This window comes from Homo sapiens, chromosome 2, assembly GCF_000001405.40.
Source record: "Homo sapiens chromosome 2, GRCh38.p14 Primary Assembly".
NCBI classification, from domain to species: Eukaryota; Metazoa; Chordata; class Mammalia; order Primates; family Hominidae; genus Homo; species Homo sapiens.
In genome coordinates, this window is record NC_000002.12 from 53,888,090 (window position 1) to 53,913,779 (window position 25,690).

Consider the following 25,690-nt stretch of genomic DNA (forward strand, 5'->3'; position numbering starts at 1 on the left):
GTTTTTTCACTTAATAAATACTACAATATCCACAACTCAAAATAGCCTCTTTATGAAGATTTTATTTTTCCTATATCATTTTCTCTGTATTTGCATTTCATCCACACTACTAGAAAACTGAAAGAAATACTGACTTAAGAATACTCACTGACTAATATTTAAACATCACAATTCAAGTTTTCTCATTAATTAAGTGCTTCTTCTTTTTAATGAAATTATCCATATTACTATTGTCTAACTTTCTACAGCACCATATGCCCCAAACAAGGCAGTTTTTCCTTGAAATGATTACTCTTTCTTTGTATCTTTTTAACAGGAAAAAGTGAAAAATAAGATGTGATGAAGACACAAAAGTACAAAAGACAATTCTGATAAAATATTTGACAGCAAAGAATGCTGACTCTAATTTGTGTTTAAATTGCTCAGGTTGCCTACATCTCACTTACTTGTCCAACTAATAAATAACTCTTATTAAGTATCACATGTTATATGGAACCAGATCACATCACCTTCCAGAAGAAAGTAATTACTTCATCTAGACTTTACAAGTATAGACCATTCATTTCCATTTATACATAAGTTAACACAAAACCTTTCGTGTTAACCTCATAGGTTTTTTAAAAAAATTTACCATGCATCTACAAAGGATCCTCCTTCACCACTCAATGGTGATTCCAACAGCAGTTCAAAAAGCCAGTGAAGTTTCCGGGGATCTCTGCTTTCCTGTGTTTAAAATATGATGTAACAGTTCAACAGAGAACCTACAATTCTGTAAACAAATCATACTCAGTTATTTAATTTAATTTTATTTTTGAGGCTAGGTCTAACTCTGTTGCCCAGGCTGGAGTGAAGTGGTATGATTGCCTCCCAGGCTCAAGTAATCCACCCGCCTCGGTCTCTCAAGTAGCTGGGACCACAGGCATGCGCCACTATGCCTGGCTAATTTTTTATTTTTTGTAGAGACAGAGTCTCCCTACGTTGCCCAGGCTGGTCTCCAACTCCTGGCCCCAAGCTATCTTCCTGCCTCGGCCTCCCAAAGTTCTGCGATTAAAGTTGAGAGCTAGTGCACCCAGCCATATTCAATTATTTTAGAAATACTGAAAACATATATAAGTATAGTCGTCCCTTGGTATCTGTGGTGGATTGGTTCCAGAACTCCCTTAGGATACCAAAATCCACAGATGTTCAAGTCTGTTATGAAAATGGTGTAGTATTTACATATAACCTATGCACATCCTCCTGTACACTTTAAATCTTCTCTAGAGTATTTGTAATACCTAATACAATGTAAATGCTATGTAAATAGCTGTTATACTGTATTGTTTAGGGAATAATGACAAGAAAAAAAAAATCTGAACAGGTTCACTATAGACACAACCATCCCCCCACCCCCTTCTGAAATATTCTCCATCTCCTCAGGTTGGCTGAAACCACAGATGTGGAACTCATGGATATGGAGGGCTGACTGTACAGGAGAAGAAAATCAAACTAAAACTGATAGGTGACTCAAACTCAAATGTGACTATCGCAGTTCAAGTTAACAGTGAGAAAGCTGTTGTTAGCTAAATGGATTATCTTCAATCAAAGTACACGAGCTATGGACATATCTGGTATAAAAAATAATACCTATAACTTTGTATTATGTGGCTTTTACTATATGTAAGTGACATTTCCAAATACATGACTGTCACTTAATTTTAAAATGCATTACCACAGCAGAGAAGATATAATAATCACTTAAGAGTTACTTCTCAAGACTTATTTGAAAGGCTGAATAGAGCCATCTCCAATTACATAAGATGACAAAAGTATGAACAAACTTTCAAGATTCAAGAAGTGAGTTACCTCACTTAGAATAATAGTCTCTAATCCCATGGAAATAAAAAATAAAAACAATTAAAAAACAAAACCCAAAAAGATTTAAGAAGTGTTATGAGATTTCACACACTTTGAGAGACAGTATCAAACAGTTTGAATAGATCAGTTAGACAAAGAAAGATGTAGGGTAACTTACACAGGATGTTGCTATACAAGCTCCCCAGTCATTATAAGTTTCTACGGTAATATTGGACAGTGCTGTTCTAAGCAGAGGGCACAGAAGCTCCCAAAGCTTCTCCACCTACTCAAAACAAAATATATGGGTAAGAGTTAATGACACTCAGAACATTTTTCTTCAAATATCTTTCTTTACCTGGAAATGTACACACATACAGGTATATCATTTAAATTATTTTTGAGACATGGTCTCATGCTATTGCCCAGGCTGGAGTGCAGTGGAATGATCATACCTCGATGTAGCCTTAGGCTTCTGAGCTCAAGTGATCCACTCGCTTCAGCCTTCCAAGGAGCATGGACTATAGGTGTGTGCCACTATGCCCTGAAATATTTTTTATGTTTTGTAAAAACAGGATCTTGCTATGTTGCCCAGGCTGGTCTTGAACTCCTAGCCTCAAGCAATCCTCTCACCTTGGCCTCCCAAAGTGCTGGAATTATAGGCATGAGCTAGCATGCCTGGCCCTAATTATTTTTTAGAGCACCCAAATAATCCAGCAAAGTACATTATCACCATACATATCCAGGTATAGGTGAAATTTTTTCCCAAAAAATATTCAGAAAAGAGTAAATACTTTGCATGGCGCTTTAAAAAGTATCTCTTGGCTGGGTGCAGTGGCTCCTGCCTGTAATCCGAGAACTTTGGGAGGCCAAGGCAGGAGGATCACTTGAAATCAGGAGTTCAAGATCAAGCTGGTCACATGGCGAAACCATGTCTCTACAAAAAAAATAAAGATTAGCTGAGCGTAGTGGCACATGCCTGTAATCCCAACTACTCGGGAGGCTGAGGCAGGAGAATTGCTTGAACCTGGGAGGCAGAGGTTGCAGTGAGCCGAGATCATCCCACTGCATTCCAGCCTAAGCAACGGAGCAAGACTCCGTCTAAAAAAACAAAACAAAACAAATCTCTCATATGACTGATGTGTTCTTAAAAATCTTGTATAATAGTACGCTAGGCTGAAACAAAACCTCAATCAAGTTTTCCATGTTTATCAAGATCATTTGATTAAACCTTAAAGAGGCAATGACATTTTAATTTAATTTAGTAATCAGCCTGAGATATAATCTTCAAATTCCAAGTCTTGGATAAATAGCCCATAAAAACATGTACGTCGTACAGAGACTGCATTTACACACATAGATTTTCTCATAGGTTAATGAGCATACAAATCACCTTGAGGTCTTGATAAAATGCAGATTGATTCATGTCAAGTGGGCCTGAGATCTTACTTTCCTAAAAAGCTTCCAAGTGCTACCCCTGCTGCAGGTCCATGGACTGTATTTTAGTTAAAAAGGATATACCTTGATTTCATCATTACACATTGTGTGCATGTATCAAAATATCACATGTACCCCATAAACATGAACAGTTACTATTATTAATTTTTTAAGTTCCTAAAAAAATTTTGAATTTTTTTTTTTAAAAGAATGAATGAAGGCCAGGCACAGTAGCTCACACCTGTAATCCCAGCACTTTGGGAGGCCAAGGTAGGTGGAGTTCAAGAGCCAGGAGTTCGAGACCAGCCTGGCCACATGGAGAAACCCTGCCTCTATTAAAAATACAAAAATTAGCCTGACAAGGTGGCGCATGCCTGTAATCCCAGCTACTGAAGGTGGCTGAGGCATTGCTTGAACCCAGGGAGCAGAGGTTGCAGTGAGCAATGATCACACTACTGTACTCCAGCCTGGGCGATAGGGCGATAGAGTAAGACTGTCCAAAAAAAAAAAAAAAGAGAAGACAGACAGACAAGGAAGATGGACGGATGGATGGACAGACGGAAGGACAGATGGAAGGAAGGAAGGAAGGAAGGAATTCTTCAATCAGCAGGAAGGGTTTGAGACAAAATTTCCAGTGGCAGCACTGTTTTGATTTTATCAAAAAAAGCTTTATCTCAAAGAACATATAGGGATAGGAATTATGTTTTGCAAAACAGGTAACTCAAGAGTGGCTTTAGTAATGTAACGGATGACAAGAATACATGTGACATTTTAAAATAAAATTGTTTCTTGTAGGCAAAAGTGTTTGCAGTCCTCCTAAAAGGTGACCAAAAAACCCTATTTGTGTCATCTCTTCGACAAAATAGTGGTCTACCTTATGCTCAGGTGGTCCTGACATTTGACCAGGTTATTTTTAGTCTCGTGTATTTTGCTAATGAACTAACCTTAAAGGCAGGTGTGTGAAAACTATATCTTACAATTAAAAAGAGGGATACTCTAAAAGGGAGAGTCAAACTCCAACTGTCTAAAAGACTGGACAAGTAATATAAATGATAAGGAGGCTAAGAGAAAGGACTTAATGAGAAGCTGGAATGGCTTAATGAAGGGAGAAGCACACGTGCACCATCAGCAGAGTGACACAGTGCAATAATGTAGGACCAGTGTTCCAGGATCTTCCTCTTTTTCAAGAAACTGGAATTCTTTTTTAATTTTTTTTAAATTTTTTCCCCCAATGTGGATAAAAACTTCAAAAATTTAAAGATAGTAAATGTTCCTAGAGACCATTAGGCTGTAATCTGTAATCAAAAGCAATGTCTACATATCGGCATATTTCATATCACTGAAGATTTCATATTTTAATTATCAGTATCTAATGTGTTGGGAATTGCCACCAAAATGGGTAACATAGCTTTAACAGGAAATGTTCTGTACAAATATTAATACATCACCTTTTCAAATGTCCAGTGCTTAGAACCTCTGATTAAACCAGCTATAATTTCTGCAACACATCGCTGGGTGCTTTCATGTGAATCTGCAACCAAATGTTCTAAATGGGGCTTCAGAACTGGCAGGAAGGCATCATCAAAATTCCTGAATATACCCTATAAAAACAAAGACTGTTCTTCAGTACTCAAATGACTATCATCTCGATTATAATTATGCTTGTAATTATTCTGTACATTACTAACGTGCTTAAAAGCTCCAAGCACACTCCCCTTTAGAACTGCTTTAACAATTGCGGTAAGTTAAAATAGTAAGAATACTGTCATTTTAAATATCACATTAAAATGTAACCAATGAAACAAACATTAATAATCTCTCTAAGTATCACACCTCAAAAAAAGCAACTAAACATAAAAAACGCATGCAGTTTTGGGTATTTTTTTTCCTTCTAATGCCAATTACAACAAACATTAAAGATAAATACAGTCATCCCTAGGTGTATGTGGGGAAATGGTTTCAAGATCCCCACCCCAAAATACCAAAATGTTCAAGTCCATGACATAAAATGGTATTGTATTTGCATATAACCTATATACATCCTCCTGTATATTTTAAATCATCTTAAGAGTACTTTTAGGACCTAATACAATGCTTACTAATTGTATTATATATTAATGCTATGTCAATACTGGTTGTAATGTCTTGTTTAGGGAATAACGACAACAAAAGTCTGTACATGTTCAGTGTAAATTCCAGTGCCATTTTAGATCAAGGCAGATGGCTAGCTTTGATCAAATATTTATAAGTTATGAACCTACGAACTGAATAGTTACTAAGCATTACAAAGAGGATATGTAAACAATATAGTTACCTTAAAGAGGCAAAAACGTCGTGGATTAAACTTATCTTTTCCTTTTCTGTCTTCTAATGATAGAAAAGTAATTAACTGCTCAACAAATTTAGGATCAGAAAAATGATCAAATATAATCTGTTCTGCCTATAAAGTTAAAAAAAGAACAATATTCAGCGTTTAAAATCCACTTAAATACATGATTCTGAAAAAGTTAAAATTACAAGATTTTGATAGTCAAAAGCAGGCTGTATTTTTGTTTCCATGAATTCTTAGTTCTCATAGACTACAGTGATTTCTAAAACCAAGTACCTCCCTCTAAAAATGCTAAAACAGGAAGTTTTCCTTCAGATTCTCAAGTTTGAATCCTATTTCTCACACTGTGAATTAAAAATCAACAAATGTTCTGCTTGGGAAATGAAGACTGAAAGCCACTGTAACACCTGGTGTGCAATTTGTTAAAATCCCCAAAACTATAAGTCAAGCCCCAACAAATCACTTCCATATTTACCTAACACCAGAAGTTAAAAGGCAAACTGTTCAGAATCAGAAAAAGTTACAATACCATTAACTCAAGGACCAAGTACATAAACTTAAAAACCCTTTCTCAACTTTCTTTTTTTTCTTTTCTTTTTTTGGGACAGGGTCTCACTCTGTCATCCAGGCTGGAGTGCAGTGGTGCGATCATGGCTCATTGCAGTCTTGCCTTCCTCGGGTCGGGTAATTTTCCCACCTTAGCCTCCCAAGTAGCTGGGACTACAGGTGTGCACCACTACGCCCAGCTGATTTTTGTATTTTTTGTAGAGACAAGGTTTTGCCATGTTGCTCAGGATGGTCTCAAACTCCTGGGCTCAAGTGATCTACCTGCCTCAGACTTCCAAAGTGTTGGGATTACAGGCATGTGCCATGGCTCCCAGCCAAGTCAACTTTCAAAGTGAAGTAAATTAAATGAAGTTTAAGGAGTTTTAACTGAAATCTACCAACATGCATTTACGGAGATCCCATAATTTATATGCAATAGAAAACTAAAAATCAGTCATTAACTTTTCCTTCAAAACGCTTGTATCAGAACTGATACAAGAAATGAGCAGCAAATTACATAAAGCAGTAGCCAACGGAGGGCTGAATGGGGTAGTAACTCAGTCTTAGATACATCAACATCTATGTCAACTGGCACTAGTATGAAGGGGTTGAGGAGAATGGATTACATAGTCACCAATATTTATGCAGTGCTATACAGAAAAACACAAATTGTATTAAGAAAAAAAAGAAGAAGAAGAACTGAAGTGAGGTTGAGATAAATCAGTGGCCCAAAACAAGATGCATTTGAACCATGGTGAAATGGAATGCTTACCTCTGTCATATCCTCCCTGCTTCTGCCAAGCTTAGGCTGCTCTTCCACACCAGCATAAACAACCATATTCCTATATAGTAAGAGTTCATATTTATCATACGCATAGAAAAAAATATTAGAGCTTCATGGATAGAAAGCATTAGAAGGCACTTTTAATGAACTCTAACTAGATGCTAAGTTTGGGGAGATGAGTACAGCAGTAACAGTCTAGGCCTTAAAAATCTATCAGATCACTGTGTCCTAATGACAAATGGAGTAAATAAGGAGAGAAAAATATGTATTTCTCTGGGCTGGTTTAGGCATATGTATTATTAATAGGTAGGAATATAATTTAGAGCAGCTATTAATAACCTCCTTAGCCATATAACCATGGGATTCAGAAAGGCTAAGGGTTTTTGCACAAGGAAAGAGGCAGGAATGAGGCATAGCATTGGCAGGAGCAAAAGAAAGAGAGGACTAGGGAAGGGGAAAGATAAAAGAACCTTCAAGTGCCTCTGAACCTCCCCAGAAACCAAAATATGATAAAGCAGTTATATCAAAGGCATTTAATGATAAGGTGCACAGTAAGTTACTTACTTTGGCCAGGTGTAGTATCCCCAGTGAGTTTTTTCCACAAAGCAACTTGACTCCCATTCTTTTTTAGTTCTTGGTATAGTTTTGCTGTCATAATGCAACCAATGATTATCAGGCCTATCACCAGCAATAATTTGGGTGGGTTTAGGGCATCCACCTAAGGAAAAGACAATCACATTTGATGAATTTAAAAATATTCGCCCAACAATTATTACCAAATTTCAATCAACAGTACCAGCATAACTTTGTCTTCACAAAACAACACTACAAAAATAACATTAAGATAACATATATATGAGCAATTGGAGGCACATTTCAAAACAGAGTAGATGGCATTATCTACTAAATTGTGTTGAATCAGTTATTTTGGGGGAGAGATCAAGTATGAAACACACTTCATTCCTTTTACCAAAATTAAAAGGATTAATTTTGTTTAAACTATTTAGATTTGAAATAATAATTTCAGACTTACAGAGCTCAAAAAATTCCCACATCTTTTACTGAGACACCCAAATTTTGACATTTTACCATGCATACTTTGATATTCTCTCTCTCTCCACACATACTTATCTAAACTATGAGTATAAACTGTAGACATCATCTCAAATAATCAAAATACAATTCTCAAAAAAGCTTTCATTAATACAGTAAAATTATTTCATCAACAGACTTTACTCAAATTTTGACAGTTGTCCCACTGAATGTACTTTATATGAAAAAAATTAAAACATTTTCTTCTGGACTATAATCCAATCCAGGATTAAACATTGCATTAAAGGAAACTAAAGATACCATACAATTTAAATGCAATGTTTTAATCCTGGATTGGAGACCAGAAAAAAATGGTTTTTTCTTCTGAAAAATTCTGGTAATACAATAAGGTATGAGGAAGAAAATTCACCTTGTCCCTAATCCCACCACCCAAAGAGAAACATTTAACAAATTAATAACAGCAATTTAAGTCTTTGAAATACAGTTGATAAAATAATTAGTATAATTGCTTAGTAGGTGAGATAAATATGAAGGCAGAAAGAGTCAATCTATTTTTGTAAATAGTTATCACTAGCTTTTACTAAGTCAACTGTTTCCTTCATAATATTATTTATATTTTGTGTTAATATCCATAGAACAATATTTGAGGTCAAGAACTAGAATTTATACATGTCAAGAAAATTTTCTGAGTTTTATTGGAAAGCACTATTAATTACTTCTGGTAGTACTCACTGATTTCACAGGGGTTAATGGTCAGCTTTTTGTGGGTTCTTTTTAGCTGTTTAAGGATACCAGCAACAGCTGAGATAGCCATCTAGAAAAGGAAAAAGGTACACATTCATAAAAAAAAGTTTAAATCACTTAACTGGTTGTCTGCTTTACTCAAAGCAGAAATAGGATTCTGTTTCTTTAAAAAAACACCTCGCCTATCGACATCTGGCAGTACATCCATGTGAGTGCTAAATCTGACTTAGAATGAATCATAGGCAGTTCTTACTCTACAGTCTTGACACATGCTAGTCTCTCTGCCTAGAAAACTTTGACCCCTTCTTTGTTAAACCAATACCTGCTCATTCTTCAAATCTTAGCCTCAGGGTTTTTTTTTTTTTTTTTTTTGACAGAGTTTTCACTCTTGTTGCCCAGGCTGTAGTGCAATGGCACAATCTCAGCTCACTGCAACCTCCCCCTCCCGGGTTCAAGCGATTCTACTGCCTCAGCCTCCCAAGTAGGTGGGATTACAGGCGTGTGCCACCATGCCCAGCTAATTTTGTACTTCTAGTAGAGACAGGGTTTCTCCATGTTGGTCAGGCTGGTCTTGAACTCCTGACCTCAGGTGATCCACCTGCCTCAGCCTCCCAAAGTGCTGGGATTACAGGCATGAGCCACCAAGCCCTGCCCAGCCTCAGGGTATTTTTAAAGGTCTTTCTCCAATGCTTCAGCTTAGGCCATCTCCCCAACCCCCACCTCACCTCTAACACTTGGAGAGTAAAAAGCTATACCCTCGAGTTTCTTGCCCCTCCTGAAACACACTGCACACCTAATTTTCTAATTGTTAAATCTTTCCCATTAGCCTATAAACTTATTTCCTGCTATATCCCCAGTCTTTTAAACAGAGTGCCTAAACATGTTCATTTGTTAGATGAATCATTATCATCTCTGAATCAACAGGGGGAGATTTCAAATCAATACACTTCAAGATATTTATTAACCAAGTGTGTATTGCTTGTGAAGAATTTAAAGACTTCAGGTCACGTACATATTCTCAAACCCAAGACTGTAGCTAAAACAAGGTATGTACCTTTCGAACTACAATTGCATCATGGTTGAGATTCTCAACAAAAAACCGTATGGCACGAAGAGGCAACACTCGGTCATCTCTCAGCAGTAGAGACAGAAGCCCAATGCCTATATGTTCAAATTTCCAGGGCCTTAAAAGGAGGAAAAATAACAAAGCATATCACACATAAAACCACTTGGAAAAAAAAAACTGTATGTGAAACACCTTATAATTTTAAATTTCTCAAGAATTAAAATAGGTCTAGTGAAGAATACTGCTCCTATCATTAATCCCAAACTTTCCCTCCATCTCTTTTCCTCTTAATCTGCTTCCAAATACACAAACCGGAATATAACTTTTTGTGACATAGTCATTCATAGCCTTCCATGTAGAAAACTCCTATAGTATTTATGAAAAATGCTGTGAGAATTACAAAAATCTTTTGCACTTACAGGTTTCTTTGCTCCACACCATCTAGCAAGGTGTCTACCAAATTTTCATAGTTCCTTTAAAAAAAAGGTGAGGTATTATTTTACTATAATACTAAAATGAACATCAAAAATATAATAGAAATTCAAATTCTAGCCAATTTCACCCTCCTTCCCCACTTACTTCCCACCACCTGACTGTAAACGGCCTGATGAGAAGCAAGCCAGAATGAAAGTAGACAGGTGAACAGAGATGCTGGGAAAAGCTCATGAAAGGCTAGGAAGAGTGAACTCAACTTTTCCTGAATGGACATGCACAAGTAACTCTGTAAGTAGTAATCAATTAATTGGGAGTGGCACACACACACACACACACACACACACACACACACACACGATACACCAGGTTTCTGAAATATATTAGGTAGGCTATAAGAGTTTATTATTTATAGACATTTTAGAAAACAACAAAGAGGTATATTCATATACTAATTATAAGGCAAAGACAAAATCAAGTTAGGAAGACTCTTGCTTGAGTGTTATCAGTGAAGCATTTAAGTGCTTTGGTATCAAGAATCCAAAAACAGTTTATTAAAATCCTGATACCAAATTTGACCAATAAGTTATTACTATTATAAGAACTATTAAATGATACATCTGCTAAACTTGAATTTAGGAATTAATGACTGATGTGTACCAGTTATGTAGTTTCTGAAATATTACTACCTTAAAAAAACAAAAAAAGAAAGATAATTCACTAGAAAAAAAAAGATAGGACAGTGAAATAACTTTTTGTTTTGTTTATTTGAGACAGGGTCTTGCTCTGTTACCAGGCTGAACTGCAGGGGCACGATCTCTGCTCACTGTAACCTCTGCCTCCCAGGTTCAAGCGATCCTCCCACCTTAGCCTCCCGAGTAGCTGGGACTGTAGGCGCGTGCCACCATGCCAGGCTAAATTTTTGTTTTTTTTGTATAGACAGGGTTTCACCATGTTGCCCAGGCTGGTCTTGAACTCCTTAGCTCAAGTGATCTTCCCACCTCAGCCTCCCAAAGTGCTGGGATAACAGGCATAAGCCACCGTGCTCGGCCTTATTTTTAAGATGGTGTTTTATACCTCCATAGCTTAAAAAGGAAAAACAGGAATCTGTGTAGTAATTACTTCTCAACTTTTTTGTATTTTTTTCAGAAGTCAATGTGTAAACATCATTAAGCAGTTATGTTATACATCTATATTTTAGAGATGTTAAAAACTTACTATCGGCCAGGCGCAGTGGCTCATGCCTGTAATCCCAGCACTTTGGGAGCCCGAGGTGGGCAGATCACTTGAGGCCAGGAGTTCGAGACCCGCCTGGCCAATGTGGTAAAACCCTGTCTCTACTAAAAATACAAAAATTAGCTGGGTGTGGTGGTGCATGCCTGTAATCTCAGCTACTCGGGAGGCTGACGCATGAGAAGAGCTTAAACCCAGGAGGTGAAGGTTGCAGTGAGCCATGATCGTCTCACTGTACTCCAGCCTGGGCAACAGAGCAAGACTCTGTCTCAAAAAAAAGCCAAAACTTACTATCTATAATGTCATCTATTGAAGTACACCATTCATCAATTACCTTAGGGCATCGGCATTCTTTTCCTGTTGGCGTTTAATTCCTTCCTTAATTTTTTCTGGGCTAAGCAATATCTGGTTGATAGAGGGGTTTTTTGACTGTTGAAGTAATTCCGCTATTTCAACACATGACTTTGGAATCTTGTTAAAAAGAAAAAAGCAGGAAAAAAAATGAAGTTCTGATGCATACTACCTGAACGAACCTTGAAAATGTCATGCTAAGTGAAAGAGGCCAGACACAAAAGTCCACATATTTTACGATTCCATTTATATGAAATATCTAATAATGGGCAAATTTATTGACAGAGAAAGTGGTTTCCAGGGGTTTGGGGTATGGAAGAATGGGAAGCGACTGCTATTAGGTACTTGTTTTCTTTTGGGGTGATGAAAACATTGTGGAGGCCAGACATGGTGGCTCATCTCTGTAATCCTAGCACTTTGGGAGGTCAAGGTGAGGGGACTGCTTGAGGCCATGAGTTTGAGACCAGCCCGGGGAACACAGCAAGACCCCTGTCTCTCTCTCAAAAAAAAAAAAACAACTTAAATTAGCTGGGTGTAGTGGTGCACACCTATAGTCCTAGTTACTAGGAAGGCTGAGGCAGGGGATGATTATGCCACTGCACTCTAGCCTTGGGGGACAGAATGAGACAGAATGAGAATGAGAAACAAAGAAAAAGGAAAATGTTCTGGAATTTGAGTAGTTACACAGCCCTGTGAATATTCTACTGTGCATATAACATGTCCATATTAAAAGGGTGATATTTATGATATGTGAATTACATCTCAATTAAAATTTTTCTTCTAAAAAATAAAGTATAATCTAATGACAGTCGCAAATAGCAACCCTATGTTTGATTTAAAAGGAATACATTTAGAACAGTGGTTTTTAAACCAGGGGAGAGATGTCAACCATAGTCACGCCAGCCAAGAGGGTGATTCTGCTGTGCTCACCCTTCTTTTACTCACCCCCATGTTCTGAGGGAGTATAAATACAGATTTGCAAGTTCCTAGAAAATCTGCTATAACTCTCAACCTAAGCACCACTGAAAGTTATATTCTTTAGTCTTTCGAGTCAAATCATTCAATTTTAGTTTTCTTCACTATAAATTACGAACCCAGTAGTCGATCTTTTGCGACTTTGGCTAGCATGGTAAACCTCATAAAATATAATTAACTCTTTGAAAAATGAAGCTGTGGGCACACACAAAATAAGGGTAAATATAACAAATCAATAACCCTTTGTGGAGCCCTGGCTGTCTCCCTACCATGCTCCAACTTGCTACTTCACCCTGTTATGTACAATAATGATCAATGAAAGTACAAAAAGCAAACAGGTAACAAACGCTTTTTTAAAAAAACACTGGACTCAAATGCCAAGAATATTATTACTGGAAAAAGGGCAAGAAAAATAAAGGGCATTTTAACAAGACAGGATTTACACTAAAACTTGAATGAAAGAATGATATTGCTTACTGTGAAGTCCAAGCCAATTGTTTCATACTGCCTATGAATCTTTTCTGCAAGATCATCAAACAATCTCACTATTGATGGCTTTTCCAGGGACATTGCTTGGCTAAGCCCTGAAGAAACAATCGCTGGCCACGTCTGTACAATACAGTCCCAATCATGAAGGTTTGCCAAGCACACACCACTGTGATTTCCAAGGAGACAGTACAAGGCACCCTGCAGAAAAAAAAATATATATATGTTTACATGGGAAATAAGAGGCATCATGTAGTTGTAGCCAATGCACCTATGTATTGGTTTTAAATGAGTATTGATTACTTAAATGCTTAATATTGGTTAGTAAAATATGTTCACACATTTAACATGTTACTTTTTAGAAATCTGAACTTGACATTTAGGTGATATCCATTAATATTTTCTCTAAGTCATTTAATAAAGAGTTTGGGACAGGTGAGGTGGCTCACGCCTGTAATTCTTGCATTTTGGGAGGCCAAATAAGGCAGACTGGTTGAGCTCAGGAGTTTGAGAGCCTGGGCAACATGGTGAAACCTCTTCTCTATAAAAAATACAAAAATTAGCTGGGCATGGTGGCACACACCTGTGGTCCCAGCTCCTCAGGAGGCTGAGGTGGGAGGATCACTTAAGCCCAAGAGGTTGAGGCTACAATGAGCCATGCCTGTGCCACTGTACTCCAGCTTAGGTGACACAGCAGGACCCTGTCTCCAAAAAGAAAAAAAGAAATTGTTCAAAGAATGGCTACTAATAAGGTAATAAAGAAATGGAAGGATGTTTCTAAGAACATATATTCCATTCTGATTTTCTTCAACTGTATCATAAAAACCACAACATGTGTCACTCTTAAAATTTTAGAGTCTGAAGTTTGGTGTTTGAAATAATTTATTAAATATTAGTTAACACCTGGTTGCTGAGTAATTTACAAAGTACATAAAAACTAAAGTATACTGCATATTTATTACTCATAAAAGTCCAATTAACCACAATGATTCTGATGACAGCAGGTATCCTTTGATGACAGCAGGTATCCTTTCTAAAGTGCTTTTTCATAAAAAGTTTTTACTATCAAAACTTTTGATTTCCAATTTACCTCACCTGATTCCAATCTAGCTTATTACTGACTTTGTATTCCACTCCTCTACAGGTTCTCTATAAGGTCACTCATAACCTCGATTTTGTTGATCTAATAGATATTTTTCTGTTTTGATTGTACTTGACCTCTCTAATTTTGTCCATTTAAACTGCTCTCATTAAGGTCAACAACAGAATAGTCAATGAGTCAAACCTACAACACTCTTGAATTATACATCTGCACCAGGGGTCAGCAAACATTTTCCATAAACGGCCAGAAAGCAAACAGCAAAGCCATTTGCTCTCTGTCTCAACTACTCTTCTCTGCCACTGTAGAGTGAAAGTAGCCATACATAATATATAAATGAATGAACATGGCTGTGTTTCAAGAAGTTTTAAAAAAGCAAGCTTTTACTTTTACAAAAGCAAGCAACTGAGCCTGAGCTATAGTTTATTGACACCTCTGTCTTACAAGCTTCATGGAAGATGTTTAGGGCTCGTCTTCATTATCTCCAAAAAACAATGACTCTACTCACTGAGTCTTCCTTCTAGAAAGACCTCTCCCTGCCTTCTGTGATTCTTCCCGATTTCTTGATACCTTTCTGACCTCTCCAGGGTCACTCAGCTCTTCTATTTGGCTTCTAAAGGAGTTTCTCAACATATGCCCCTTGGTCCTCTTCTTATTCTCCTCCTAGGCTTTCTTATCCATGCCCATAGATTTCAATTATAATCAACATACATGGAAATGGTATCTTCGGACTCAGATGTCTAACTGCCCACTTGATGGTGCTCTTAGGTCATTGGAACCACTTCAAATTAAACTAGTCCAAATTAACTATGTCATCATCTAACTACTCTCTCTCTCTCTCTGATGTGCCCAGCAACTAGTTGTACGATCCAAAAGCTTAGTAACTTTGACATTTCCTTTTTTCAGTCCCCTCATATTCAATCAACAAGTCCCATCCGTTCTCACTCTTAATTCACTCTCAATCTATTTCTTTCTACCTGACAGTATAAGCAATCATTATATATTACCTATACTTTATTACATCCCCATAGGATGTAGTATTTGCCTTATCCTGTATAATTTCCTTTCTTCTCTACTCCAATTGCATAAGCTTTCATACCACTGCTCAAACTTACCATATTTCTTCCTTCCTGTCTTAAGCCCTTCCTTCACACTGGTCATACTACTCTAAACTTCTTGGTCTTTCATCCCTCTCTCCCATATGCCAGCCAGGCTACTTGGCCACTAGCACTCAAGTTAAACAATTATTTTCCTCAGGAAAGTCTGCTTCTTATATTTTCTTCATCATAATACTGATCACAAACAGAGGTAAATAACTAAATAATGAGTCTCCTCATATTAGTATGAAACAAAGATCATACCTGTTTAAAGGTGAATCGTGCTGATATCTTCAATTTACTTTGAAATACATTAAAAAAAAGAACAGATATGCGATAAAGCAAATACAGCAAAATCTTAAATACAGAATCTCAGTGGTGAAGAAGATATGGATGTTTACCGTAGAATTTTTTCAGCTTTTCAGTATGTTTGAAAATGTTTACAGTAAAATAGGAAAAAAACCCTATACCTTGAATTGTTGCTGTGTAACACCTTGTCTATCAGGCCTTAAGAACTCCAAAACCAAGGGAATGATATCTCTGCAACAGAAGTTATATGCTCCCAAGGCAGCAAAAAATGTTTGCTGAGCCTTATTTCTCACCTGGAGGAAGTATTATTAACAAAGGACTTTTATTAAATAGTAAAGTACAAAGCAGTTTAAAACAAATTATCAAAAACAGTAATGATAATTTACATGTTTTTCTCATTAACAAAATAAATTTCAAAGCACGTACCCTAAAAAAGAAGTAAATGATTATCTTTACTTATATCAAAAGGAAAGCACAATACCACCGACCATATCCATGGTTTAGGTTACACTGACTGAAATATGTTTGATAAAGGGGAGACTGAATGGAACCTATATGCATTTGCTCAGTAACATAGCTAAAAGTAATCAGCATACTACTAAACTTTTTATTCTGAATTATTCTAGATATAAAGAGCCAGATTTTCTCTTATGTCCACATGAGGAAAATTAAAGAATTTCCAGGAGGAACTAAAATAAACCAAAACAGACACATAACAACTTAACCCTTTTAAGGCAAACCTTAAGTACAATCTCACATATTTTTGACCCAAACAAAATATTCAGTATAAATTTACAACTTATGAACTAGTTAAATAGTAATGGATAATAACTGGTTATAGTAGGATGGGCGCAGTGGCTCACGTCTGTAATCCCAGCACTTTGGGAGGCTGAGGTGGGTGGATCACCTGAGGTCAGGAGTTAGAGACCAGCCTGGCCAACATGGTGAAACCCCGTCTCTACTAAAAATACAAAATTAGCCAGGCATGGTGGTGCGTGCCTGTAGTCCCAGCTACCGGGGAGGCTGAGGCAGGAGAATTGCTGGAACTCAGGCGGCGGAGGTTGCAGTGAACCAAGATCGTGCCACTGCACTCCAGCCTGGGTGACAGAGCGAGACTCCGTCTCAAACAAACAAAAAAAGAGTTTGAAATATGTACAATGTGTTGCTTTTACTATAACCAGTTTTTTTTTTTTTCCTGCTCTGTCACCCAGGCTGGAGTGCAGTGGCACCATCTCGGCTCACTGCAACCTCCGCCTCCCAGGGTTCAAGCAACTCTCCTGCCTTAGCCTCCGTGTAGCTGGGACTATAGGCGCATGCCACCACGCCTGGCTAATTTTTGTATTTTTAGTAGGGAGGGGGTTTCACCATGTTGCCAGGCTGGTCTTGAACTGATCTCAAGTGATCCACCTGCCTTGGCCTCCCACCCACAGTGTTGGGATTACAGGCATAAGCCACCACACCCGGCCTCAAACTCATTTTAAACATTACTTTAGAGGGAATCTCTGAGCTAGAGATTAGTTACAGGTTGAGTATCCTTTATCTAAAATGTTCAGGTAGCCGGGCATGGTGGCTCACACCTGTAATCCCAATACCATGGGAGGCCCAGGCAGGCAGATCGCTTGAGCCCAGGAGTTCGAGGCCAGCCTGGGCAATACAACGAGACCTTATCTCTATTAAAAATGAAAAAAATTAGTCCAGCATGGTGGCGCATGCCTGTAATCCCAGCTATTTGGGAGGCTGAGATAAGACGATCGCTTGAGCTCAAGCCCAAGGCTACAAGGCTTGAGTTCAAGACCTGAGTTCATGGTGATGTACGCCTATAATCCCAGCTATTTAGAAAGCTGAGGTGAGACAATCGCTTGAGCTCAAGCTCAAGGCTTGAGTTCAAGGCTACAGTGGGCTGTGATCACACCACTGCACTGCAGCCTGGGTAACAGAGAGAGACCTTGTCTCAAAAAATAAAAATAAAGTAAAATAAAATGCTCAGGACCAGAAATGTTTTGGATTTGAGATTTTTTTCACATTTTGAAACATGTGGATTATAAACTTCCTGGGTGATCATCCCAAATCCAAAAATCTGAAATCTGTAACGCTCCAATAAACATTTCCTTTGAGCATCATGTTGGTGCTCAAAAAGTTTTGGATTCTGGAGTATTTTGGGTTTCCAATGCTTAACCTGTAGTTAATTTACATTATTTCATAAAGATAGAATAATTAGTTGCACATGAATCTCTTTTTCCACTTTTCTGTGCTTGCAGATAATCTCTTGTTCCTACACTAAAGGACAGACCTCACAATTCATGTGGTAGCAGCTTCCTAAAACCCAAGCTTAATGTCTAGGAGGAATTATGTGGCCTTCGTAGACTGGGCTTCAAAATGTGATTGAAGTGCCAGCAATATCACACTAGCACTGTCTTCCAAATTTAAATAAATGAGAAGCAATTACAAACAGCAACATTAAGCATTACAAAAAAATGACTAGCAACCTTAGCTTGAATATATTTGCAATTTGAAAGCTGTTTTCTATGCTAACATGAGTTAAGAGAGCCTAGCTTTTGGTCCTGGTTTTATTACTTCCTGGAGGTAATTACTGGAAATTACAATTTCCAATAATTGAGAGAATAATTCCAATTATGGGTGAAATTATTTAAACTCTCTTCTTAAAAGGGGGATATTAAGATTGCATGTAATAAAATGGGAGGGCATGAGAGTGCAGCGTTTGGATAAGCCTTACCTGACTGTATGAACTTGTAGATAAACGAAGAAGATCTCTGATCATATCTTGATGTATCTTTTTGTATTCACAACCCTCAACAGTTAGTGTCCGTAGCTAAGAAAACAATCGCAAACATTTACTAAAATTTGATTATGAAAACAAAACTAAATACTCATCTGGAAAATTGACATTTTAAAAAGTCACTATGACTGAAAAACATATTTACCTCATGCTGTAACATTACTCTATCAATCAACAGTGCTCTGATATGTTGTTTTTTCCCATGGAGCTGGAAAACAAAGTAGCAACAAATACTTCAACATTTTCCCTAAATGACTTCAACAATGGATGCCTCTAAATACCTTAATAAGTGGTCAAAAAGGTCCCTGGTTGACTGGTGAGTGGTGGTGGTATTTCCTTTATTCTAAAGACATCAGGCTTATATAAAAATGTTGTCTTAATTTTTATGGCTAACAGTAGAAATATCCCCCTTTTAAATAGCCCATCCAACACCCTGTTTTTCTCTGATAGTTTACTATTAGACCCATGCATGGGAGAGCAACAGAGTTGTGTTCTTATTCAGTTAAATACTGAAAGTACAAAAACAGCCTACTAAGACAATTGCTCAACTCTCTTAAATCTACAAATAGCCATAGCCTTTCAGGGTAATCAAATATGTTTACTACAAAATTTAATAATAATATCTTTTCTAAAAGTTATCATTTAAGCTTTTATCCATATAATCTTCCACCTGGTCACCAAAGGCAGATAGTTGAGGCTCAAAGACTCTTCTTCTTTCACACCACAGTTCCTTAGTCATTAAGCCCCCCAATTCTACCATTTTCAAAACATGTTATTTCCATTTCAATACCACTGACTTGACTTAGGCTGTGTTTTTCACCTGGAGTGAAACAGTTTAACTCCCTTTCTTGCTTACAGTATCAATCTCTTTGTACTTACTGTTCACAGTGGTGGCAGAGCTTTTTAATGTTTAGTGAATTGAGTGTTGACTTTTCCAATCAATATTCAAATCAGATCTACTTAAGAACTGTTAATGACTCTCCTACTGCTGAATATAAAACTGAAACACTTTCTCAAAACAAAGTATAAGCAACCTAGTTTACCCTCTACAGCCCCTGGCCCCTAAAAGCATGCCATGTTTTTATATCTCCTTGCCCTTTTACATGCCATTCCTTCTGTCTAAAGTATCTAGCAACTGTTGTCTAAACAATGAACTCATACAACCTTTTTAGACTCAATTTCAGTAAAAGTTTCTGGCGTAAGAATTCTGCCATGAACATCTCTTGGCTTACACTGATACTCTTTCTTCCAAGGCCCCAAAGAAGCTTACAATGACTTCTGCAGCTGAATATAATACAGGGTAACTTTTTCTCAGATCTACATAAAGTGTAATGCTTTAAATTCATGCCCATAGATAATTCCTCCTATTTTTAAATTCCTTCAAGTTCTTACAAGGTAGTCTCAATGCTATTGTCCAAATTCCCATTGAGAGTTTAGAGACTGTCATGGAAACAGGCAGAAGATTCTGTATAAGAAAAATATATTTTTTGCTAGGATCCATTTGATTTCTACCATGATGTTTTTAACTTTTACATACTTTTAAATCTACTATTTTTCCTTTTAGGAAAACTTCTTCTATATGCTGAATAATACCCAAATTACGAGGTTATTATACGACTTTAAAACAATTAGTGCAGACTTTTAGGTGAAAATACTGACCCGATTTTCCATTGATTTCTTTACTAAGTTGAAGCTTTTCCATCGGGAGTCAAATTCATGCTTGTGAGATCCTTGGAATTGTAAAAGGTCTCCAATAATCTGTGTCAAAGAATTTCAAATTGTATTTGCAAGTCATCAATCCAAGCTTGATCGTATTAATCATTATGCAACTATCAAATGACAAATGTACCTTTATAATAAGAAACAATGACTTAGTATCATCTTCTGAATTATCAAGTATGTGGTCTATAATGGAAGAAAGAAAAGGATTTTGGTTAAAATATTTTGAACTACTATAAGAATCTTGAGGCATTAGTCAAGAATCTATTAAGAAAAAAAATCACTGCCCAATATTCTCACCATTTAGAATAAAAAACATTAAGTAAACACATGCATGTTATAGATTAAAATTCCAAAATACTTATTCCAAAGTACAAATAAGTTAAATGTACAGATACACTTACTAAGAAGTTTCCTTATAACTGTAGCAATTACTTCTCGGTGGTTCTCTCGAGACAGATCTATTTTGAAAAAATAAAAGAAGGTATTTTAGACACTGAATGCTCCTCAGACTTTTAAAGTTTATATCAACAGGTTAGGTCAAGGAGGGATAAAGTATTGGAGAAAAAAATAGGTCTGCCTTTACCATAGTTGAATTAATGGCTAGGCATGCTACAGCAACTTCTAAAACCTCTACACTTAAATGACCTGCTTATGAGATGTCTATCATGCTTCAAGATAAAGAAAAATAATAATAATAAAAAATAGATAAAATGACCTGCTTATAAAACTTCATGGGGCAAGAAGGTTGGAGAGGCGAGGGAAAGAAAAACCACCTTTGCCAATATTTCAAAGGCTCTAGTCACTAATTAGAGATTAAAATACATGGAATTTTCTAATTAGTTGTGGGTGACGTAAATCAAGCAATTACAGCCTAGCAATTAATGTATGTAACTTTGGTGTTAATCCAGCGATGAGAAAGGGTGCTAAATTTCTATTAGATTTAGAACATTAACAATAAAATGTTTTACATAAATGTTATTATAAAACTTAATTTACTATGATAGGAAGGTATAAAGTTTTTTTAAATATAGGGTTACAATATTCGTATTTACACCAAGTATAACATATAAGTGCTAGAATAATTTTAAACATAAATGAGCATTATGATATATAAAAGCCTACCTCTGTACATAGCATTCAAATACAGACTGACCCAATTTCTTACTGGCTATTCTTTATACAATAATTTTCCAGTTTCTCCAGAAAAGGCAAAAATGACTACTGTATAATTAATATTCTTTTCATATATCAAAAAAGAGATTAGGAACATCATAATACAAAACTACTTCATTTTAGGCCGGGCAGGGTGGCTCACGGTTGTAATCCCCCAGCACTCTGGGAAGCGGAGGTGGGTAGATCACTTGATGTCAGGAGCTGGAGACCAGCCTGGCCACCACGGTGAAACTCTGTCTCTACTAAAAATATAAAACTTAGCTGGGCTTGGTGGTGCACACCTGTAATCCTAGCTATTTGGGAGGCTGGAGCAGGAGAATCGTTTGAATCTGGGAGGCAGGGAGGCAGGGGTTGCAGTGAGCAGAGATCGCGTCACCACACTCCAGCCTGGGAGACAGAGTGAGACTCTGTCTCAAAACAAAACAAAACAAAAACACTACTTCATACTTCATTTTAGTCCTTGTGGAGTTACTGACAAAAATAATCCACACAGATTTACTCAGATTAGGATTCACATACCATATTCAAGTCCAGTATACAACTTTGTCTCTTCCAAGGACACCATACTTGGTACTCTGTATAAAAACAAGAGTGCTTGCATTTATTAATAATACCAATATGAAGTATTAAAGGGAAAAGTTTCATTGCTGGACTGTTTAAACCAAAACAAAGATAATGTTCTTTTAACAGACACAGATTTCCCATCTTCAATGGGAAAAATCAATCTATCTTTCTCAAGATGAATGCTGTTTCAGTAAGAATCATGTTATTCAACTTAAAGAAAAAATTTAGTGACTTCAGGAGGCCTCCTAAAGGAACATAATATTGATATCCAATACTCAAATGTAAAAGATTAAATATGATAAACCTTTACATAAAGAAAAGTCAGCTTAATAATGGCACAACAGTTAAAACAAATTTTACTAAAGCATATAGAGCTGACAAGCTTATTTAGATAATCATTACCTTCCTCTTAAAATCAGTCAAAAACATCTCTCCTAATGTGCAGTAATAAGACACTCTTTTTGAAGAAATTCAGGTATAAAAATCACTGTTTCCTAATTAAAGATCTGCCATAAAGAATTATGATACCACAACCAGAGGCTACCCTGAGCCTATAAGCGGTAGCCCTGCTCCACAAGGCTACCACAACCAGACCCAGCCAGTTAAATTCATTGAACAGTTAAAAGTCACTTTTTACATATGCAAGGACAGATTTTATAGGAAAATGAGAATTGACATATCTGAAATCTACATTTTCTTTAGTGAAAAATATACCTCAATTTTCAATACTTTATTTCAAAATATGAGATTTAATTCAAAGCTTTTATTAATCAAAGAGATACATTCTAAAAGGAAAAAAAGGCACAAATCAGGCAAGCATATACAGAGTTAATAAACAGCAATCTTATTATTATTACTAATCACCAATGAACTGCACAAGACTTGCCATGAAGAAAATACTATTTTTAAATCAACACATCCCCAGCTATATTGTATACCCTCAAAAAGTAGCTGAATTAAATGGGTTATCTCTACCTTAATATTTGACAGTTATGAATTCAGGTATTTATCTAAGTAATAGGTAAAAACATATTTCTAAAATGTCAGTTATTTAACTATGTTTCTCACCATAACCCAGTACAGAGGATAGCAACAATACCTTCTCAAGTTTCAAAACCAAGCCCATAGAGTATAAACAAAGAATGGCTTCTTTTTCACTAACTTACTTCAAAGCTTATTAATATTGTATATTAATAGTATCAAACGTTAATTTGCTTTTTCAGACTTTCAAGACCAAATTCCTCTTAAAATTTTGTTTTCCTTCTATAAAGCTTCAACCACTGGCAAACCTGAGCATCTTAAATATTTTTGCATGATCAAAAATATGTATGTATCCAAAATCTGTTAGTAAAAAATAAAATCAGATTCCTTTACATGAACGTTATGTCTTTACTGAAATTAGATTTCACCAAAGAGAAAAGGCCTGTACTCAAGAGTAACAAGAATAAAGCACAAGAGAGTTCCCACCCTCCCCCCGCCCACTGTTAGAGCAGGGGAAGTGCTTGCTATGAGCCATCCTATTAGAGTATGTGTCTCCCCACTGCTGCCATAAACACTTAGTTTTCTGAAGTAGAAATATACAGTCTGCAGCTTATGCAGTCTGTATCTAATGCCATATAATATTAAATCAAGCATGAATTTTAATTACTGTCACTTTAGTTACTGTCATATTATACAAATTAAAAAAAGCATTCTTTATAACCAATTATTCTCCATAGTTTTTACTATATCTAAAAAGCCTGTCATTTGGGAATTTAAAGTTTTTCAAACAAGTTTCATCTAAGAGTCCTGACACCAAATTTCTTAAAATCCATGTGACACTTTGAATTGTTTTCTTATCAGGGAATTTGAAAAATAATCATTTATGCTGACTACTTTAAAAAATCCTGTATAAGATTGTAAAATATTAAGTAATGTATTTAAATAAAAGCCTTATCTTCTTCCTCGACTTTTAAAACTTGGATTAAAATACAGCTTCCATATCTCCTACACAGAGGTGACCCTTGAACAACACAGGTGTGGGTCTACTTACACGCAGATTTTTTTTTCAACTAAATGTATTAGCCAGATGAGAAATCTACACATATGGAGGGCTGACTTTTCCTGTATGTGAGCTCTACAGGGCCTACTGTGGCACTTGAGTATGAATGTATTTTGGTATGCTGTAGGTCCAATCCCCTAACTTCACCAAGGGAAGACTATATATAGGACATATCTGGGTAGTATACATTACAGCTTTTGTTTATTCTTATCCACCATAATTTGATCTCTTCTTGCCTACCACAAATTAACTGGATTAACATGATTTACAATAAATGCTTCTCAGCAAGTGTAGCTATTTATTTATTTATTTTTCAAGATAGGATCTCCCTCTGCCACCCAGGCTGCAGTGCAATGGTACGATCATGGCTCACTGCAGCCCCAACCTTCCTGGCTCAAGTGGACTCACATACACCTCAGGCTCTTGAGTAGCTGGTACTACAGGTGCACACCACCTCGCCAGCTAATTTTGTTTATTTACTTTTTGGTAGAGACAGGGTCTCGCTATGGTGCCCAAGCTGGTCTCAAATCCCTGGCCCCAAGCAATCCTCCTACCTCCACCTCCCAAAGCACTGGGATTACAGGCATGAGCCATAGTATCCTACCTCTTCTGACCTTTAGAAGATTTTTTACTAAAAGAAATCTCTACCCATTACCCAAGTAAAATATCATGACTGTATCTCTTTGTGACATTATAGATCTCATTGTGCCCAGGATGTAATCTGTGATATATTAAACTGTTCTGGTAGCTTTTAGCTATGCACATAATCTTAAGTGAATAGTCTTAAGGCACTGTCTTACAGATCTATATTCTGACTAAAAGCTATGTTAACAATATGTAAGTCAAATCAAATTCCATCACTACCTCTCCCTTCCTCATGTGAAATCCATCCTACTCATTCACTAGTTCATTTTACAAACCATAGTATCATTTAACCTAAGGAACAATACAATTCAAAAAAATAATTCCAGCACAACATACTGTAAATAACACCCTCTATGTAATAATAATAAAATTAAATCTGCTTCATAGCTTCTAGATAGTACCAGGCCACCTAACATATAGTAAAATGTATTAAAATATTTGTACCACTAAAAAAGGACCTATGAATTTTCAACAACTATAGTATTCGTACCACTAGATGGGAATCTTCTTTAGATATGATTAGAGCAGGACTATGAAAAGAATCACTGGTAGGAAAGAAGGGATGCTGAAAAAGAAATAACTAATAACACAAAAACAAAATATATAATACAAATCACATATGTAAATGAAGGCTGGGCGAATTGTCATGAAACAGCTGTAAACAATAATATAAAATTCTTCCTGTGTATAAGTGAAAGAACATCCTATCTTCCCAATAACCCTTCCCCTTCCAAATAAAAATAAACATAAAAGATGTAAAACCAAGCCACTAATAGATTTTTTCCCTTCAAAGTACAAATGTCTCACAAGAGACAGTTAGGCCTATTTTTGTGTTCTATTATCCAATTCAATCCTAGGTAGCAATAATAACTATAAACACAAATGAAAACCTGGCTCTTATCCTGCCAGTGAACAAAGGGTCACTAAATAAAGAGAAATCTTATATGTTGCTAGATTTTAAATTAACTCTGAAA

General features: G+C 36.5%; 1 protein-coding gene across 1 annotated transcript in view; it reads right to left on the reverse strand.

Annotated features, from left to right (window-relative positions):
* The window catches only part of PSME4 (proteasome activator subunit 4), a 106,925-nt gene that overhangs the window by 24,021 nt on the left and 57,214 nt on the right, over positions 1–25,690 (reverse strand). Inside the window, exons 21-38 of the mRNA NM_014614.3 lie at positions 21,986–22,041; positions 20,695–20,751; positions 20,421–20,476; positions 20,231–20,329; positions 18,717–18,779; positions 18,509–18,604; positions 15,936–16,067; positions 13,261–13,470; positions 11,792–11,928; positions 10,212–10,265; positions 9,781–9,910; positions 8,715–8,796; positions 7,494–7,647; positions 6,918–6,987; positions 5,585–5,710; positions 4,719–4,871; positions 2,015–2,119; positions 632–723 (exon numbers count right to left, since the gene is read on the reverse strand). Coding sequence (NP_055429.2) covers positions 632–723; positions 2,015–2,119; positions 4,719–4,871; positions 5,585–5,710; positions 6,918–6,987; positions 7,494–7,647; positions 8,715–8,796; positions 9,781–9,910; positions 10,212–10,265; positions 11,792–11,928; positions 13,261–13,470; positions 15,936–16,067; positions 18,509–18,604; positions 18,717–18,779; positions 20,231–20,329; positions 20,421–20,476; positions 20,695–20,751; positions 21,986–22,041 — 1,872 coding nt within the window. The remainder of the gene's footprint in view (positions 1–631; positions 724–2,014; positions 2,120–4,718; positions 4,872–5,584; positions 5,711–6,917; positions 6,988–7,493; positions 7,648–8,714; positions 8,797–9,780; positions 9,911–10,211; positions 10,266–11,791; positions 11,929–13,260; positions 13,471–15,935; positions 16,068–18,508; positions 18,605–18,716; positions 18,780–20,230; positions 20,330–20,420; positions 20,477–20,694; positions 20,752–21,985; positions 22,042–25,690) is intronic.